General features: G+C 55.4%; 1 protein-coding gene and 1 pseudogene across 7 annotated transcripts in view, besides 8 other annotated features; both read left to right on the forward strand.

The window, feature by feature from the left end:
- Window positions 1-4434, forward strand: part of CAPN1 (calpain 1) — a 30634-nt gene extending 26200 nt beyond the window's left edge. For all 6 annotated transcript variants that reach the window (NR_040008.2, XM_006718698.3, NM_001198868.2 and 3 more), the window contains 8 exons: window positions 483-548; window positions 633-690; window positions 1751-1815; window positions 2277-2345; window positions 2446-2524; window positions 2764-2880; window positions 3242-3300; window positions 3688-4434. Coding sequence is in view for 5 of the 6 variants with exons in the window: in XM_006718698.3 (XP_006718761.1) it covers window positions 483-548; window positions 633-690; window positions 1751-1815; window positions 2277-2345; window positions 2446-2524; window positions 2764-2880; window positions 3242-3300; window positions 3688-3714 (540 nt within the window). In the remaining variant the exon portion in view is untranslated. The remainder of the gene's footprint in view (window positions 1-482; window positions 549-632; window positions 691-1750; window positions 1816-2276; window positions 2346-2445; window positions 2525-2763; window positions 2881-3241; window positions 3301-3687) is intronic.
- Window positions 1837-3036: an enhancer, noted in NCBI's record as "P300/CBP strongly-dependent group 1 enhancer chr11:64976880-64978079 (GRCh37/hg19 assembly coordinates)". NCBI's record gives its function as "activates an origin of replication core promoter dependent on BRD2, BRD4, P300/CBP, MED14 and CDK7 cofactors, with strong dependence on P300/CBP, by STARR-seq in HCT116 cells {active_cell/tissue: HCT116}" and the evidence as "EXISTENCE:reporter gene assay evidence [ECO:0000049][PMID:35650434]".
- Window positions 3727-3930: a silencer, noted in NCBI's record as "fragment chr11:64978770-64978973 (GRCh37/hg19 assembly coordinates)". NCBI's record gives its function as "represses an EF-1alpha promoter that drives an FKBP-Casp9 reporter gene in an ReSE screen in phorbol 12-myristate 13-acetate-treated (for megakaryocytic differentiation) K562 erythroleukemia cells {active_cell/tissue: K562(+PMA)}" and the evidence as "EXISTENCE:reporter gene assay evidence [ECO:0000049][PMID:32094911]".
- Window positions 5280-6196: an enhancer, noted in NCBI's record as "NANOG-H3K27ac-H3K4me1 hESC enhancer chr11:64980323-64981239 (GRCh37/hg19 assembly coordinates)". NCBI's record gives its function as "activates a minimal SCP1, AML or CMV promoter by ChIP-STARR-seq in primed H9 embryonic stem cells {active_cell/tissue: H9 hESC(primed)}" and the evidence as "EXISTENCE:reporter gene assay evidence [ECO:0000049][PMID:30033119]".
- Window positions 6197-7112: an enhancer, noted in NCBI's record as "NANOG-H3K27ac-H3K4me1 hESC enhancer chr11:64981240-64982155 (GRCh37/hg19 assembly coordinates)". NCBI's record gives its function as "activates a minimal SCP1, AML or CMV promoter by ChIP-STARR-seq in primed H9 embryonic stem cells {active_cell/tissue: H9 hESC(primed)}" and the evidence as "EXISTENCE:reporter gene assay evidence [ECO:0000049][PMID:30033119]".
- The window catches only part of SLC22A20P (solute carrier family 22 member 20, pseudogene), a 28918-nt pseudogene continuing 18657 nt past the window's right edge, over window positions 6268-16528 (forward strand). Inside the window, exons 1-6 of the transcript NR_033396.1 lie at window positions 6268-6681; window positions 6754-6857; window positions 9963-10116; window positions 13424-13592; window positions 14901-15024; window positions 15893-16008. The product of NR_033396.1 is annotated as a solute carrier family 22 member 20, pseudogene (transcript). The remainder of the gene's footprint in view (window positions 6682-6753; window positions 6858-9962; window positions 10117-13423; window positions 13593-14900; window positions 15025-15892; window positions 16009-16528) is intronic.
- Window positions 6684-6733: an enhancer, noted in NCBI's record as "active region_4950". NCBI's record gives its function as "activates an Ori minimal core promoter by ATAC-STARR-seq in GM12878 lymphoblastoid cells {active_cell/tissue: GM12878}" and the evidence as "EXISTENCE:reporter gene assay evidence [ECO:0000049][PMID:35858748]".
- Window positions 9140-9703: an enhancer, noted in NCBI's record as "H3K4me1 hESC enhancer chr11:64984183-64984746 (GRCh37/hg19 assembly coordinates)". NCBI's record gives its function as "activates a minimal SCP1, AML or CMV promoter by ChIP-STARR-seq in primed H9 embryonic stem cells {active_cell/tissue: H9 hESC(primed)}" and the evidence as "EXISTENCE:reporter gene assay evidence [ECO:0000049][PMID:30033119]".
- Window positions 9704-10267: an enhancer, noted in NCBI's record as "H3K4me1 hESC enhancer chr11:64984747-64985310 (GRCh37/hg19 assembly coordinates)". NCBI's record gives its function as "activates a minimal SCP1, AML or CMV promoter by ChIP-STARR-seq in primed H9 embryonic stem cells {active_cell/tissue: H9 hESC(primed)}" and the evidence as "EXISTENCE:reporter gene assay evidence [ECO:0000049][PMID:30033119]".
- Window positions 14194-14423: a silencer, noted in NCBI's record as "fragment chr11:64989237-64989466 (GRCh37/hg19 assembly coordinates)". NCBI's record gives its function as "represses an EF-1alpha promoter that drives an FKBP-Casp9 reporter gene in an ReSE screen in K562 erythroleukemia cells {active_cell/tissue: K562}" and the evidence as "EXISTENCE:reporter gene assay evidence [ECO:0000049][PMID:32094911]".

The following is a 16528-nucleotide window of genomic DNA, read 5'->3' on the forward strand; positions in this document are numbered from 1 at the left end:
GCGGGGCAGGGCAGGGCAGGAACGAGATTCCCTTTTCAGATTAGAAAAGTGAGACTCAAGCCGGGCTCAGTGGCTCACGCCTGTAATCCTAGCACTTTGGGAGGTTGAGGCGGGCGGATAACCTGAGGTCGGGAGTTTGAGACCAGCCTGGCCAACATGGCAAAACCCCGTCTCTACTAAAAATACAAAAATTAGCCGGGCATGGTGGTGGGCACCTTTAATCCCAGCTACTCAGGAGGCTGAGGCAGGGAGAATGGCTTGAGCCCGGGAGGCGGAGGTTGCAGTGAGCTGAGATCACGCCACTGTACTCCAGCCTGGGTGACAGAGTGAAACTCCATCTCAAAAAGAAAAGAAAAGAAAAGTGAGGCTCAGAGAAGCGAAGTGACTTGTAGCAGATATGTGACCTCAGCCCTCCCTCCAGCTGCCTCCACACGGGCAGGGCCGGGGCCTCTCTTACCTGCTTTCTCCCCTTCTCGGTCCAGCAAGTGCTCTCAGAAGAGGAGATTGACGAGAACTTCAAGGCCCTCTTCAGGCAGCTGGCAGGGGAGGTAGGTTGGGGCATGGCAGGTTGGGAGGGGCCTGTGAGGGGCAGCCCTCTCCTGGGGCAGGTGCCACCTCCTCTCTCTCCCCAGGACATGGAGATCAGCGTGAAGGAGTTGCGGACAATCCTCAATAGGATCATCAGCAAACGTGAGTCCCCGCGGGGCTGTCCCACCACCCCACCATTTCTTCCACATCAGAATCCAGGCTCCTGCTCACACATTGAGCTGAACCTCATCCCTTGGTCTGCATGAGTCGGGGAATCCTCCAGTTTTTCTGAGCCCAGTTCCCTGCCATTTCCATCCCATACTCCTCCTCCTGACCTGCCATCCTGATAATCCCTGTGCTCGGGTGCTGTGCCTTTGTGGGATTAGCAGCGCAGCCTGGCCAGGCACAGTGGCTCACACCTGTAGTCCCAACACTCTGGGAGGCCGAGGCAGGAGTCGCTTCAGCCCAGGAGTTCAACACCAGCCTGGACAATATGGAGAGACCCTGTCTCTGCAAAAAAGTACAAAAATTAGCTGGGCGTGGTGGCATGCACCTATAGTCCCAGCTACTCAGGAGGCTGAGTTGGGAGGATGGCTTGAGACCAGGGAGGTTAAGGCTGCAGTGAGCTGTGATCACATCAGTGCACTCCAGCCTGGGCAACAGAGCAAGACCCTGTCTCAAAAAAAAAAGCAGGAGCAGCACCTTAGTGCCAAAGAAAAGTCTACCTTTCCTCCCAGAGCCTCCTGGGCCAGGCTGAGTGGCTTGGGGAACACCACGTGACTGGCTTCACTCCCCAGGGCAGACAACTGCTGGCCTCTCATCCCCTCCCCTCCCCTTTGCTGCCACTGACCTCCATCCACACGGTTTCCTTAAGCAGAGCTTTTCTCCTCCTCTTCTCTGCTAGTGAAGCACTGCTTACCCTCCTAGCCTACAGCAAGCCCTGCCCTGCCCCATCTTTCTACCCAATTTCTCGCTCTTCTGTTTCACACTCATTTCTTTTTACTTTGGACTAATTGTGGCTGTTGGGACTTTGGCTTGATTGCTAAAATACTTTACTTGTACTTCCTGATGATACAAACAATCCTGCCCACTTCCTCTGCCAGATATTGCACCCACTCGTCAGGATTTGTGCGTCCTTGACTCTGCCCCACCCAGTGCTCCCAGCAGGGGCAGGTGCAGGAAGCTCACTAGGTGGAGATGTTGGAATTGGTTTTTCTTGCAGACAAAGACCTGCGGACCAAGGGCTTCAGCCTAGAGTCGTGCCGCAGCATGGTGAACCTCATGGATGTATCCTTCCGTTTGCTTTTGTCTCCTGAGTGGGGTTTTGGGTGGAGGTATCGGTGCTGGGAGAACTGTCCCAGGACAGCACAGAGAACAGGACAGAGCCATGCGGAGTGTGGACACACAGTGCCCCATGCTCAGATGTCTCCCTGGACGTCTTCCTGTTGGTTGGGAGGGAGAAACTGAGGCACAGACCTGTGTCAAGTGAAAGGTGGAGCAAGACCTGGGTCCCCATTGACCCTGAGGCTGGTGCTATTTCTGACCCCTCCCCAGCCCACTCCACTGCAGCCCAGCTCAGAGAATAAGGCAAGCCCGGCTGTGGGCTGACTGTACATGGCTTTTGCTGCTTCTCCTCACCCAGCCCCAAGTCGACTTGCCGGCTCGGCGGCCATCTCCCCTTCTGCACAGTTGCCCACTCTCCCATGACTGGTCTAAGTGATGGAATTTCCTTCTTAACGGCCACCCAGCGTGATGGCAATGGGAAGCTGGGCCTGGTGGAGTTCAACATCCTGTGGAACCGCATCCGGAATTACCTGGTAGGTTGTCCCCACTCACCTCAGTCATGCAGGTGCGGGCCGGGCAGGTGGGAAGGGCCGGGTGACTCAGCCTGGCCCTCACCCTCTGCCGCCACCTCAGTCCATCTTCCGGAAGTTTGACCTGGACAAGTCGGGCAGCATGAGTGCCTACGAGATGCGGATGGCCATTGAGTCGGCAGGTGAGACTCCAAGGCTGACGGCACCTGTGGGGCCCAGGACAGGTAGCCCCACTGCTCCTATGCCCCAGGCCCTTGTCCCTGGGGTGCTAGTGGTGACATGGTAACAGCCATCTTGTCCTTTTCCCCACGGTTACTAGCACCCTGCCTAGCCCCAGCCCCCTCCTGGGGACCCAACCCCTCCCCCATCCTGTTGGGCAGGGGCTGCGCCTCACTGACCTTCACTCACTCTCCTGGACCAGGCTTCAAGCTCAACAAGAAGCTGTACGAGCTCATCATCACCCGCTACTCGGAGCCCGACCTGGCGGTCGACTTTGACAATTTCGTTTGCTGCCTGGTGCGGCTAGAGACCATGTTCCGTGAGTGTCCCCAACTGCCTCCCACCCTCCAGCTCCGTCCCAAACGCGTCCCCCAGGAGCTGGGGGGAATGACAGATGGGTGAATTAGCAGATACAGGCCAGTGCTGTGGGTGTGTGCCAGAGAGGCCTGGGTCTGGGTTTGGGGGGCCCTGGCTGAGTGCCAGGAGAGTCGGGGAGGGAGGGAGTTGACAGTGGCTTCTCAGGCAGCAGGAAGGGGTGAAGCTTCCCAGCTTCAAGGGGTGTCAGCTTGCGGTACTGTGGGGAGGTAGAGAGGGACCAGGCAGGAAGGGGGCCAGGCCTGGCCCTGCGTGAATATCCCACTGAGTTTTCAGCCCTGTATCACCTTTTCTTGAACACACAGGATTTTTCAAAACTCTGGACACAGATCTGGATGGAGTTGTGACCTTTGACTTGTTTAAGGTGGGAACCTCCCTGGGCCCATGGTTGGGGAAGAGTTCCAGGCGATCGAATTTTCTTATCTGGCCAGTGTTCCCTGTCCTTTCCTGGAAATGAGCCTGGGCCTCAGAGCCAACCCTGAAGCCCGGGCCACCTGAATCCTGAAAGGCTGGGGTGGGGGTGTCTGGATTCTGGGAAAGGAGCAGGAGGGGAGGTCCAGGCCCTTGGAGGCCCCTATGGGAGCAGCACTCTGGTTTCCCAGGGGTGGAGGAGGTAAGAAAGTAACCCCTCCATGAGGTTCCTGAGGTGGCTCCTGAGACGTGGAGTTGGGGGCTGGACCTGGGGTTTGGGTGGGGAAGAAGCCAGGGAGCCATTTCTGCGGCCCCAGCTGACCTGCCTGTTCTCCCGCAGTGGTTGCAGCTGACCATGTTTGCATGAGGCAGGGACTCGGTCCCCCTTGCCGTGCTCCCCTCCCTCCTCGTCTGCCAAGCCTCGCCTCCTACCACACCACACCAGGCCACCCCAGCTGCAAGTGCCTTCCTTGGAGCAGAGAGGCAGCCTCGTCCTCCTGTCCCCTCTCCTCCCAGCCACCATCGTTCATCTGCTCCGGGCAGAACTGTGTGGCCCCTGCCTGTGCCAGCCATGGGCTCGGGATGGACTCCCTGGGCCCCACCCATTGCCAAGCCAGGAAGGCAGCTTTCGCTTGTTCCTGCCTCGGGACAGCCCCGGGTTTCCCCAGCATCCTGATGTGTCCCCTCTCCCCACTTCAGAGGCCACCCACTCAGCACCACCGGCCTGGCCTTGCCTGCAGACTATAAACTATAACCACTAGCTCGACACAGTCTGCAGTCCAGGCGTGTGGAGCCGCCTCCCGGCTCGGGGAGGCCCCGGGGCTGGGAACGCCTGTGCCTTCCTGCGCCGAAGCCAACGCCCCCTCTGTCCTTCCCTGGCCCTGCTGCCGACCAGGAGCTGCCCAGCCTGTGGGCGGTCGGCCTTCCCTCCTTCGCTCCTTTTTTATATTAGTGATTTTAAAGGGGACTCTTCAGGGACTTGTGTACTGGTTATGGGGGTGCCAGAGGCACTAGGCTTGGGGTGGGGAGGTCCCGTGTTCCATATAGAGGAACCCCAAATAATAAAAGGCCCCACATCTGTCTGTGATGTGTTTCTCCCCAGCCTACTGCCTGGAGGGCACCTGCAGGCCCCGGCCCATGGGGGCAGCTCGTGGCCTCAGCTCACCCCTCCCCTCCAACCCCTCCATCTCCTTCCCCTTGACCTTGAAGCTTGAACCCCTACTGGAGTACTGGGTATCTGGGCAAGACCACCCCTGGCCCTGGGAGGTTGGGAAGGAGGGGCCCTAGCTGCAGGGACAGGGCCACACAGCTGAGGTCCCACATGGCTCTGCTGATCCTACATGCCCTCCCCGCCGCCCAGGAGGCCTGACCCCTACCTTTCTTGCACACTTCGGCCCGTTGAGGTGAGGCTCTGGCTGAAATTCAAACCTCTACTTAGCACACACCCGGCCCCCCAGAGAGCTCCCCCGAGCACAGAGCCGCCTTCAGGTCCCTCTGTGGGGAGCCCCTGTGACCCAGACACCTGCACTTACATAAGCCGCTCCAGGGCCTGCTGGGATCTGGGATTTTCTTACCAGAGATAAGAGTGGTTTGGGGGAAGGAAGAGGGGATGGGGCGAAGCTGCAAATGCAGAGCAGAGGCCGAGGTGGGGGAGGGTGGGAGTTGGCTGCTGTCAGCTGCTGTGGGCCCCAGCGTTGGGGTGGAGATGGAGGTGGAGGCCCCTGTGTGCCCCATGGGGAAGGCTGCCCGCACACTGCTATCTTGAGCTTGCGTTTTGCCCTTGTCACCTCCTCACTGGGAGTCCAGGTCCTGTTGGGCTCAGAGTCTTCAGCAGTGAGGGCAGTGGCTCAGCTCTTCCTGCAGCTTGGGCTGGTGTGTGAGGGGCTGGAGGGCAGGAGGGTCTGCAGGGCCCTGCCATCTTGCTCAAACCCTTACTTGCTCTCTGGATTGGGTTTTATTTGATGTGGGGATGGGAACACCACGTCTGGATGACCTGGGACCCTAACCTCTCATAAACTCTGAGTCACTGAGGTAGAGGTGGGAAGAGCAGGGCTTCTTCCTGACTGCCCTATTTGGGCTTTCTTGCTTTGTTTCTTTCCTTCCTTTCTTTCTTTCTGATGGAGTTTCTCTCTTGTTGCCCAGGCTGGAGTGCAGTAGCGTGATCTCGGCTCACTGTAACCTCCACCTCCCGGGTTCAAGCGAGTCTCCTGCCTCAGCCTCCCAAGCAGCTGGGATTACAGGTGCCCGCCACCATGCCTGGCTAACTTTTGTATTTTTAGTAGAGAGAGGGTTTCACCATGTTGGCCAGGCTGGTCTAGAACTCCTGACCTCAGGTGATCAGCCTGCCTTGGCCTCCCAAAGTGCCAGGATTACAGGCATGAGCCACTGCACCTGGCCTATTTGGGCATTTTAAAAGGGCTTTTTCCCACGTGTCACCTGTGCAGCCAAGTCCCTGCTTTCTCGGGAAGTGGGGGAAGGGTAAGCAGCTGTAAACACTGCATCCCATTATTCTGAACTCTCAGCACTTAAGGCTCCAGCTGTGATTTGGAGCCTAGAGACAGGGACTGTGTCCCATGTGCCAAAGCCAGAATCGGGGCTCCCGAACATGCCTCGGTGTCCTCTGGAGGAAAGGGAAGGTGATGGTGCTCCATTCACTGCTGGGGTCCTGTCGGTGAGGGCAGTGGGCAGGGCGGCCAGACCTGCGGATATGGGTGGTAGGCTGTGACTCAGCCCTCGGGGTGAGAGATGGAGAGAGCTAGAGAAAGGGCATGGGGGAGGGGAGCCCTGCAGATGTGGGGACACCTGAACCCTCCTATGGGGTGTAACCTGAGCCCTCCGACACAGGGTGCACAGGATGTCTGCAGTCCTCACCCCTGGCCTGTTCCTCCCCCTCCCAGGGCCCCTCCCGGCCTCTCTACATAAAGCCGGGGGTACTGGGCCTCAGGTCAGGCCTATGGCCATGGCCTTCACAGACCTGCTGGATGCTCTGGGCAGCATGGGCCGCTTCCAGCTCAACCACACAGCCCTGCTGCTGCTGCCCTGCGGCCTGCTGGCCTGCCACAACTTCCTGCAGAACTTCACGGCCGCTGTCCCCCCCCACCACTGCCGGGGCCCTGCCAACCACACTGAGGCCTCCACCAACGACTCGGGGGCCTGGCTGAGGGCCACCATACCCCTGGACCAGCTTGGGGCCCCTGAGCCCTGCCGGCGCTTCACCAAGCCTCAGTGGGCCCTGCTGAGCCCCAACTCCTCCATCCCGGGCGCGGCCACGGAGGGCTGCAAGGACGGCTGGGTCTATAACCGCAGTGTTTTCCCGTCCACCATCGTGATGGAGGTCAGAAGGGGCTGGGTGTGTGGGGGGGCTGCTGCCGAGGCCCAGTCTGAAGCGCCCATGTCTTCCCTGCAGTGGGATCTGGTGTGTGAGGCCCGCACTCTCCGAGACCTGGCGCAGTCCGTCTACATGGCCGGGGTGCTGGTGGGGGCTGCCGTGTTTGGCAGCTTGGCAGACAGGTGAGCCCGTGGGGATAAGGGCCCCAGCCACCCAGTGCGGGCCAGAAAGCCTAGGCCTCTGCATTCATTTTTCTTTGTTACAGTTGATTTGTGCATTTTAAACAGATAATACATATAGTACATTCACATGGTTTCAAATCCCGAAAGGCACAGAAGAGTCTGCCGGGGATCACCCCTTTCCTGCTCTGCCCCTCCTTGCAGTAATCCCCAGAGGGCAGCCTGCTTTCTATGCCTTTTACCAGAGACATTTTATGATTCTATGCAGTCAAGCAAGTGGGTGTATATGTTCCATTCCCCCATTTTTCTTTTCCTGTTTTGTATTTGTTTTCTTCTTCATGTGCCCCCATTTTTTTCTTTGAGATGAGGTCTCACTATGTTGGCCAGGCTGGTCTCAAACTTCTACGGTCAAGCAGTTCTCCTGCCTCTGTCTCCCAAGTAGCTGAGGTGACAGGCCTGGTCATCCTTTTTTTGTGCAAATGCTGGCATACACCCCACGTGGTCCTGCACCCGGCTTTTTCTTCGCTTTGGAGGCCTCTCCTATTCCTTCAGAAAGAGCTGTCCCATTCCTCCTAGTCTTTACACTACATCCCACTGTATGAATGGGCCCTAACTTGTTCCCCGTTATTTTTTAGAGGTGAGGTCTCACTCTGTCACCCAGGCTGTAGGGCAGTGGTACAAACATAGCTCTCTGCAGCTTCAACCTTCTGAGCTCAAGTGATCCTCCTGCTTCAGCCTCCCCAGTAGCTGGGACTACAGGCACGCACCACCGCACCCAGCTAATAAAAAAAAAATTATTTTTAGTAGAGATCGGGGGGTGGGGGTGGGGGGGGGTGTCTCACTATGTTGCCCAGGCTGGTCTCGAACTCCTGGGCTCAAGCAATCCTCCTCCCTCTACCTCCTAAAGTGCTGGGATTACAGGTGTGAGCACTGCACCTAACTGACCCCTATTGACAGACGATGTGCAGCCAGCTCATGGCTCTGAAGTTGGCTCCTACGTCTCTCTCTCTGCACCTCTTTCCCCTTCCTCCTCTTCGCTCTCTCTCCCCTCTCCCTTCTCCTCTGCCCTTCTTCTCTCAGTTCAGGTTTGGGGGGCCCTCCCGGACTCCACCCCACACTCTGGAGTGTAGATGGCTCCCTGTGCCACACACCTCAGGCCCTCATCACACCGTGTCATGATACACCCTGGTCTTTCTACATGTGAGCTTGTGTCTTATCCAGAATGTCTTGTTTGTCACCAACCCTCAACTCAGGCCTGTCACTTAGAGGTGATTAATGATCAATGAACATTGTGTCACAATGAATGAGTGAATGAAAGAATGCATGAAGAAATGAAGAAACGAGTGAGTGAGTGAGTGAGCAGGCGAGTGAGTGGGCGAGCGAGTGAGTGGGCAGATGAGTGAGTGAGTGGACTAGTGAGTGAGTGAGTGAGCCGGTGACTGAGCGAGTGAGCGGGTGAGTGACTGAGTGAGCGGGTGGGCGAGCGAGTGAGCGGGTGGGCGAGCGAGTGAGCGGGTGAGCAAGCGAGTGGGTGGATAAGCGGGTGAGTGGGCGAGTGAGCGGGTGAGCGAGTGAGTGGGCGGATGAGTGAGTGGGTGAGTGAGTGGGAGAGTGAGTGGGTGGATGAGTGAGTGGGCGAGTGAGTGGGTGGGTGAGTGAGTGGGTGGGTGGGTGAGTGGGCGGATGAGTGAGTGGGCGAGTGAGTGAGTGGATGAGTGAGTGGGTGGGTGATGAGTGGGTGATCGAGCGAGTGAGCGAGTGAGTGGATGAGTGAGTGGGTGGGTGAGTGAGTGGGTGAGCGAGCGGGTGAGCGAGTGAGTCAGTGAGTGAGTGGATGAGTGAGTGAGTGGGTGGGTGAATGGATAAGTGAGTGGGTGGGTGGGTGGGTGAGTGGATGAGTGAGTGAGTGAGTGGGTGCGTGAGTGGGTGAGCGAGCGAGTGAGCAAGTGAGTCAGTGAGTGAGTGGATGAGTGGGTGGGTGGGTGAGTGGGTGGGTGGGTGAGTGGGTGGGTGAATGAGTGGGTGGGTGGGTGGGTGAGTGAGTGGGTGAGTGGGTGGGTGGCTCGGTGGGTGAGTGAGTGAGTGCATGAGTGAGCGAGTGAGTCGGTGAGTGAGTGAGTGAGTGGGTGGGTGAATGAGTGAGTAGGTGGGTGGGTGAGTGGGTGGGTGAGTGAGTGCGTGGGTGGGTGAGTGAGTGCGTGGGTGGGTGAGTGAGTGGGTGGGTGAGTGGGTGAGTGAGCGAGTGAGCGAGTGAGTCGGTGAGTGAGTGGATGAGTGAGTGGGTGGGTGAGTGGATGGGTGAGTGGGTGGGTGGGTGAGTGAGTGGGTGGGTGGGTGGGTGAGTGAGTGGGTGAGTGGGTGGGTGAGTGAGTGGGTGGGTGGGTGAGTGAGTGGGTGGGTGAGTGGGTGGGTGAGTGAGTGGGTGGGTGGGTAAGTGAGTGGGTGGGTTGGTGGGTGGGCGAGTGAGTGAGTGGGTGGGTGAGTGAGTGGGCGAGCAAGCGAGTGGGTCATGGAGTGTGTGGAGAAGAAAAGCTGCCTGTCTTCTTGGCCTGCTTCCCTGCTGGCCAAGTTGAGGCTGTGCGCTCTGGCCCTGGACCCTCATTTGCAAACAGGGCAGATCACCCTGCCATCCTGTCCTTGGGCCCCTCTGTGGCATGGCAACCCTCTGGTCCACATAATGACTCCACCCTGGCTCCTGCTCCCACACCAGGGACTGGCCAAGGGCTCACCCGCTGTGAGTTCTGGTTCGAGGCCTCCCTCCAGCCACAGCAGTGCTCAGGTGACCTCTCCCCACCTGCCACACGCCCCTCTGGGGCTTTGCAGAATCCCTGCCTTTCCTCGAGCCCGGACTAAATCTCCTCGCCAGCTTCCTTCTACACTATGTCCCTCTGTCTGTGACCAACCTCTGCCACGAAGCCTGGGTCCCAGCAGTTTCAAGTTTCTGTTTTGGAAGGGTGGCTTTCGCGGGGTACCCCATCTTCCCCGGGACTGCCTTGATAATCCCCTGCTCGGGTGAAAGGGGCAGGCGTGGGCTGCCCATTTGTTCCTTGGGGGATGCTGCTGCTGCCTCCCAAAACCCTAATGCCTGTGCCCATTCTCTGGACTCAGGCTGGGCTGCAAGGGCCCCCTGGTCTGGTCCTACCTGCAGCTGGCAGCTTCGGGGGCCGCCACAGCGTATTTCAGCTCCTTCAGTGCCTATTGCGTCTTCCGGTTCCTGATGGGCATGACCTTCTCTGGCATCATCCTCAACTCCGTCTCCCTGGTGAGTCCAGCCGAGGAGAGGCCAGGAAGGGCGGGGGCTCCTGAAAGAGCAGGGCGGGGGCGGGGGGACAGGGGGGTGGCAACGTCGAGGGTCATCGGACATTTTTCTCATGTTGTTTTGTTGGGATTCTCATCCAGCAACCTCAACTCAAAGCCTCCCGCCAGAGTTCTGGACCTGGGGGACCTGGGCTCCCGGGTAGTGGTGGCCCTGCTGGCTGTGGGTGGGGAGTCCCTGGATGGCCTTTCCCAGGTCTGGGCTTTAGTGTACTCATCTGTAAATTGAGAGGGTTAGGTTTATTTTATTTGTGAATTAGCCAACAATAACCACTTACTAAGCACCTATTGTCTCCAGGCTTAGTGTGGGGACACAGAGGCCACTGGGACACAGGAGAGGAGTGAGCCATGATGGTCCCCAGGGCAGCAGCCAGCCCTGAAATTGTATGACTCTATGAAGGCTGGTGATTCCTCAGCTTCATGGTGGAGACCTGGCTCCTGGATGCCAGCTTGGAGTGTTGCGCCCCCAAGTGATAAGTGGCAGGCTCAGTCCTCACTCTAGGCTGGTTCTGGGCAGCCCCTGGGTGGTCCTAGGAGAAAGCATCACGGGGCAGAAGGAAGCCCACCCAGGACACAGGCCTGCCACCTACCTATGTTTCATTTTAACTACTTAGCTTGCTCCTGGGGACACCACTGGGCACGGAAACTGCTGCCACCATCAGCTGTGCAAAGACAGGATGGATCTTTTATATCAGGGGTCAGGAAGAAATCTTGGGACCAGAGAACCAGGACACCTGACCTCCCCTCCCTCTCCCAGCACACAGCGGGATCTCAGCCAATCCCAGCCTACACAGCTCACTCTGCAGGGTGGGCATCCAGCCATGGCTTGAAACAGGTGTCTGAGGTCCACCTCGTGCTGGAATGGGCTCTAACACCTACACAGACACATACAGACACACACAGACACATACAGACACACATACACACGCATCAGAGACTGCCCAGCCTCTTAACACTTCCTGAGGCTGGAGAGGCCGGGCACTGTCTGGGGACATCTCCGCCTGTAAAGACGACTTTGTAGAGATTCCATCGAGTGCCCTGGAGCTCCCACCACAGGCCATGCCCTGCCTCGGGTCCCACCGCACAAGTGTGGTGACCCTCCATACATATATGCCTCCCCTCATGTTTGTTCCTGCGCACACTGTTCTGTATCTTGATTCTTTCACTTAACCAAGCTGTCACTGGTCCACTGCCTGATAGAGAGCCTCCTAGTGCCAGGAGAGGCTCTAGAGGTTGCGGTGAACACAGCCCTGCTCCTTGGAGTCCATGTTCTAGCGAGGCGAGATATCACCAGCATGCATAACGAATCGTATAGTATGTTCGAAGACAGTAAGTGCTACAGAGGAAAACCGAAGCCTGGAAAGGGGATAAGAATGGCCGGGTTGGCCAGGCGCAGTGACTCATGCCTGTAATCCCAGCACTTTGGGAGGCCAAGGCGGGCAGATCGCCTGAGGTCAGGAGTTTGAGACCAGCCTGGCCAACATGGTGAAACCCTGTCTCTACTACAAATACAATTAGCCCGAGCATGGTGGCGGGCGCCTGTAATCCCAGCTACTCGGGAGGCTGAGGCAAGAGAATTGCTTGACCCGGGAGGTGGAGGTTGCTGTGAGCCGAGATCGCACCACTGCACTCCAGCCTGGGTGATGGAGTGAGATTCTGCCTCAACAAAACAAACAAACAAAAAATCCCACAAAGAATGGCCAGGTTGGAGGGGAGGGGTCTGCAGTTTTAATTAGCGTGGTTTGGGAAAGACTCACTGAAAAGGGGTCATTTTGAGCAAAACTGGAAGGAGTTGAGGGAATGAGCCCTGCAGGTTTCTGGGGTAGAACATTCCAGGCAGAGGGAACTGCCAGGCAGAGGCCCTGCAGGGGAAAGTGTGCCCAGGGTGAAGAGCAAGGAGGGCCCTGTGGCTGAAGCAGAGTTGGGAGGTGGGCGACAGGTGAGGTCGGGGAGGGCAGTTCTGCAGGACCCTGTGTCCAGCGTTCTAGGACTTCAGCTTTGTCTCTGAATGAGACAAGAGCCACCGGAGGATTTTGACCAGGGAGAGACCTGATCTGATTTAGGATTTGAGATCTGATAAGATCTATGTGGCTGCCATGTGACACCAGGACGGAAGCAGGGAGGCCGGTTAAGGGGCTGCTGCTGTCATCAAGCAAGAGACCAGGTTGAACTGGGCCACGGTGGCAGCAGCAGAGGCAGTGAGGAGAGCTTAGATTCTGGCTTAATTCTGAAGGATTTGCTGAAGGACTGGACGCACAGGCTTCTTGCCCATTGGGAAGAAGCTTCCTCATTAATTTGTTACAGCTGCCTCGTAAGGGTGTGTCATCATTACTTAACCAGTCCCCTACAGATGGACATTCAGGTTGTTCCAAGTTTTGCTATTTATAAAAATTAGTATTTTCTGTCTTTGCATGGGGTTGAGCACCTCTGCCCATTTTCCTTTTAGCTTGTTGGCCGTTTTCTAATTGATTTGTGAAAACTCTTTCAGTATTAGGGAAATTAGTCTTTCTTTCTTCTTTCTTTCTTTTTTTATTTTTTGAGACAGAGTCTTTAGCTCTGTCGCCCAGGCTGGAGTGTAGTGGTCCAATTCATTTCAGCTCACTGCAACCTTCGCCTCCCAGGTTCAAGCGATTCTTGTGCCTCAGCCACTCGAGTAGCTGGGATTACAGGCACACAACACCATGCCCGGCTAATTTTTGTATTTTTAGTAGAGACGGGGTTTCGCCATGTTGTCCAGGCTTGTCTCAAACACCTGACTCAAGTGACCCGCCCGACTCAGCCTCCCAACGTGCTGGGATTACAGGAGTGAGCCCCCGCGCCCAGCCCAAAATTAGTCCTTTATCTGCTAGTTGGGTTACAACTATATTTTTACATTTTTTGTTGACGTTATGGCTTGACTTACGGTGTTTTGTTTTGTTTTATTCCAATGCGGACATTTTTTATTTTTACGACTCCAAGTTTGTCAACCTCCCCTTTTATTGCCTCTGGGTTTTGTGACTTTCTTGGAAAAGCCTTTCCCTACTCTAAGATTATAAAATAATCTACCATGATTTCTTCTGGCATTGTTGTGGTTTTATTGTTTATTGAGTTCTTTGATCCACTTAGAATTTATCTGGAGTGCAGTAGGGACACCTTTGCCTGTGTCTCAGAGGGTCTCTGGAATGAGTTTAAGTGGTCAGAATCATAAGGGGGGGTGTGGTGAATTAACCACATGGGTAGCTGAATGCCGCTGAATGTCACTGTTTTCTCCCCAGTTGTGGAGTGGATGCCCACACGGGGCCGGACTGTGGCGGGTATTTTGCTGGGGTATTCCTTCACCCTGGGCCAGCTCATCCTGGCTGGGGTAGCCTACCTGATTCGCCCCTGGCGGTGCCTGCAGTTTGCCATCTCTGCTCCTTTCCTGATCTTTTTCCTCTATTCTTGGTATGTCCTGAACAGAGTGGGGTGGGGGAGGGTGCACCTGTGTGGCCGAGTCTTCACCTGGCCCTGTGAGAGGTTGGGGTGTGCAGTGACCGGGGCTTGCTGGACTTGACAGGGGACACAAAGGATGGCAGGCGTTCATGGAGGCTGCAAGCTCTCAAGTCCTCACGAATGGCTACTGGGACGCTCTGGTAAAATCCCTTGCATTAGTGTGGGGCCCTGGAACGTCCCAAGAGCTTTTGCCTTCATCAACTCCTTCGCATCCCTCAACACTTCATAAGTACTCTAAGTGCTTATAAAGTTATAAGAATATAACTGGGGCATATATAAGAGGGTAATGAAGCACAGCCCAGAGAGGGCCCATGACTCACACAAGGCCACACAGCTGGGGTCAGAACCAGATTCAAAACCGGGTCTGGGATAGGTGTGGTGGCTCACGTCTGTAATCCCAGCACTTTGGGAGGCTGAGGTGGGCAGATCACTTGAGGTCAGGAGTTCGAGACCAGCCTGGCCAACATGGTGAAACCCCATCTCTACAAAAAAAATAATTAAATAAATAAAATAAAATTAGCCAGGCATGGTGGTGGGTGCTTGTAATCCCAGCTACTCGGGAGGCTGAGGTAGGCGAATCACTTGAATCTGGGAGGCAGAAGTTGCAATGAGCCGAGATTGCTCCACTGTGCTCCAGCCTGGGCGACAGAGTGAGACTTGGTCCAAAAAAAAAAAAAAAAAAAAAATGCCACGGGTCTGTTGAAATCCTAAGTCCTCTGTAGTTTTGTTTTTTTTTTTTTGGTTTTTTTTTTGTTTTGAGATGGAGTTTCCCTCTGTTACCCAGGCTGGAGTGCAGTGGCGCGATCTCGGCTCTGCAACCTCCACCTCCCAGGTTCAAGCGATTCTCCTGTCTCAGCCTCCTCCTGAGTAGCTGTGATTACAGGCACACACCACCATGCCCGGCTAGTTGTTTTGTATTTTTAGTAGAGATGGGGTTTCATTATGTTGGCCAGGCTGGTCTCAAACTCCTGACCTCAGGTGATCCACCCTCCTGGGCCTCCCAAAGTGCTGGGATTACAGGCGTGAGCCACCGTGCCTGGCCAAGTCCTCTGTAGTCTTTAAATACTGTTCAGTGAGTCTCTGTATGATGTACTGCAAAAAAAGGGAAGCTGGCATGGCCCCCAGACTTCCTGATGCTACAGACAGGAGGACAGGTCATCTTTTTTGGGTCTGAAAGAAGGTAGACAAGGGGGTATTGGGTTTGGGGAATAGAATGAGCTCTACCCAGCCCCAGATCCTTCTTCCTCCTCTCGGTCCCAGGTGGCTTCCAGAGTCATCCCGCTGGCTCCTCCTGCATGGCAAGTCCCAGTTAGCTGTACAGAATCTGCAGAAGGTGGCTGCAATGAACGGGAGGAAGGAGGAAGGGGAAAGGCTGACCAAGGAGGTAAGCGAGCTGGGAGGAAGGAAGGGTGGGAACAGTCTTCAGTCTTGCTGGCAACCTCCAGTTGTACTAGAATTTAGCAACTTCCCAGGACTCACGTGCCATCCAGGTGTAGACATTGGGAATAAACAGGACAGGCAGAGTTCTCATGTGCGAAAGATGTTGTTTAGGTATTGAATGATTGTGTGATTTAGGATAAATAATTTAACTGCTTTGCTCATCAGTCAATCCACCTTTGTAATTAGGAAATAACCCTATTAACCTTGACATCCAGTTGAAATTTTAATAAAATAATAAACTAAAATTATTAAAATAGCAACCACACAGTAAAATTACTGGGGAATCAATAACAAAAGCACCATTATAAATACCATTTATTATAAGATAGTTACCATTTATTATCAATAAGCATCATTTCTCAAGCCCCATGCCGGGCACTAGGCTGAGAGCTTTATGTATGTAATCTCATTTCATGTCTCATTTTTGACAAAGAGGAAATTGAAGTGGGGACAGGACGGGTAACTTGCCTGAGAACACACAGTAGGAAGTGGCAGAACCACTTGGAACCCCTGCTCTTATCTGACTCAATCTCCGAGTCTATACCAGGAATGGGGTGGGAGGCCCTCCAGAACCGCAGAACCTCAGTAGTGTTGGAGTTCGTGTTGGAGCTTCTCAACACCCTGGAAACAGTGTGTTGGCACTTCTCAACACCCCTCAAGTGCCATCAGTCCTTGGACGGAGCGGAGACAAGGGCCAGCCACCTCACCAAAGACCTCAACCCCAGCTCTCCTCCACACAGACGAAGGGGTTCCCAGCAGGGATGTGGGGTCCGAGCTCCCTCGCTTTCCCTGAGCAGAGTCTTCTTACCTAGGTGATGAGCTCCTACATCCAAAGCGAGTTTGCAAGTGTCTGCACCTCCAACTCAATCTTGGACCTCTTCCGAACCCCGGCCATCCGCAAGGTCACATGCTGTCTCATGGTGATTTGGTAGGTGACAGGCTCATGCCCAAGACTTTCACCTGAGGCAGGGGCATGCTCTCTGCCCCCACTGAAAAACTCTGTTCTGAAATACTCTTAATGCAATGAGCAGGTGAGCCGTGTGAACTCAATCTCTTCCCACACCCTTTTTCCAGCACTCGGCCTCTGCTGGATGCTGAGATGTGGTGACAGATGAGATATCATGCTAACCCAGGAACCCCACTTCTGGGCAGTGGGTCTCACCTGGGTGGGAGGACTATTGGAATCACCAAGGCAGCTTTTCCAGAATGTAATTTGTCCCATCCTGATATGCCCTTTGGGCTGGCTCTCCAGTGGATTCTGGGAAGTGTCGCACTCTGGAAAAAACACTTCTGGATCCAGGAGGGGATAGACAGGAAAATTGTAATTTTCATGCAGTGAGACAAGTATCCTAACAGCATTTCTGCTAGCTGGGGCTGCTGACGGCTTCAGGCAGGAGATAGCATTTAGACTGCTTTTAAAAGATGGTTAATTGGCTGGGTGCGGTGGC

This window comes from Homo sapiens, chromosome 11 (genome assembly GCF_000001405.40).
Source record: "Homo sapiens chromosome 11, GRCh38.p14 Primary Assembly".
Classification (NCBI taxonomy): Eukaryota; Metazoa; Chordata; class Mammalia; order Primates; family Hominidae; genus Homo; species Homo sapiens.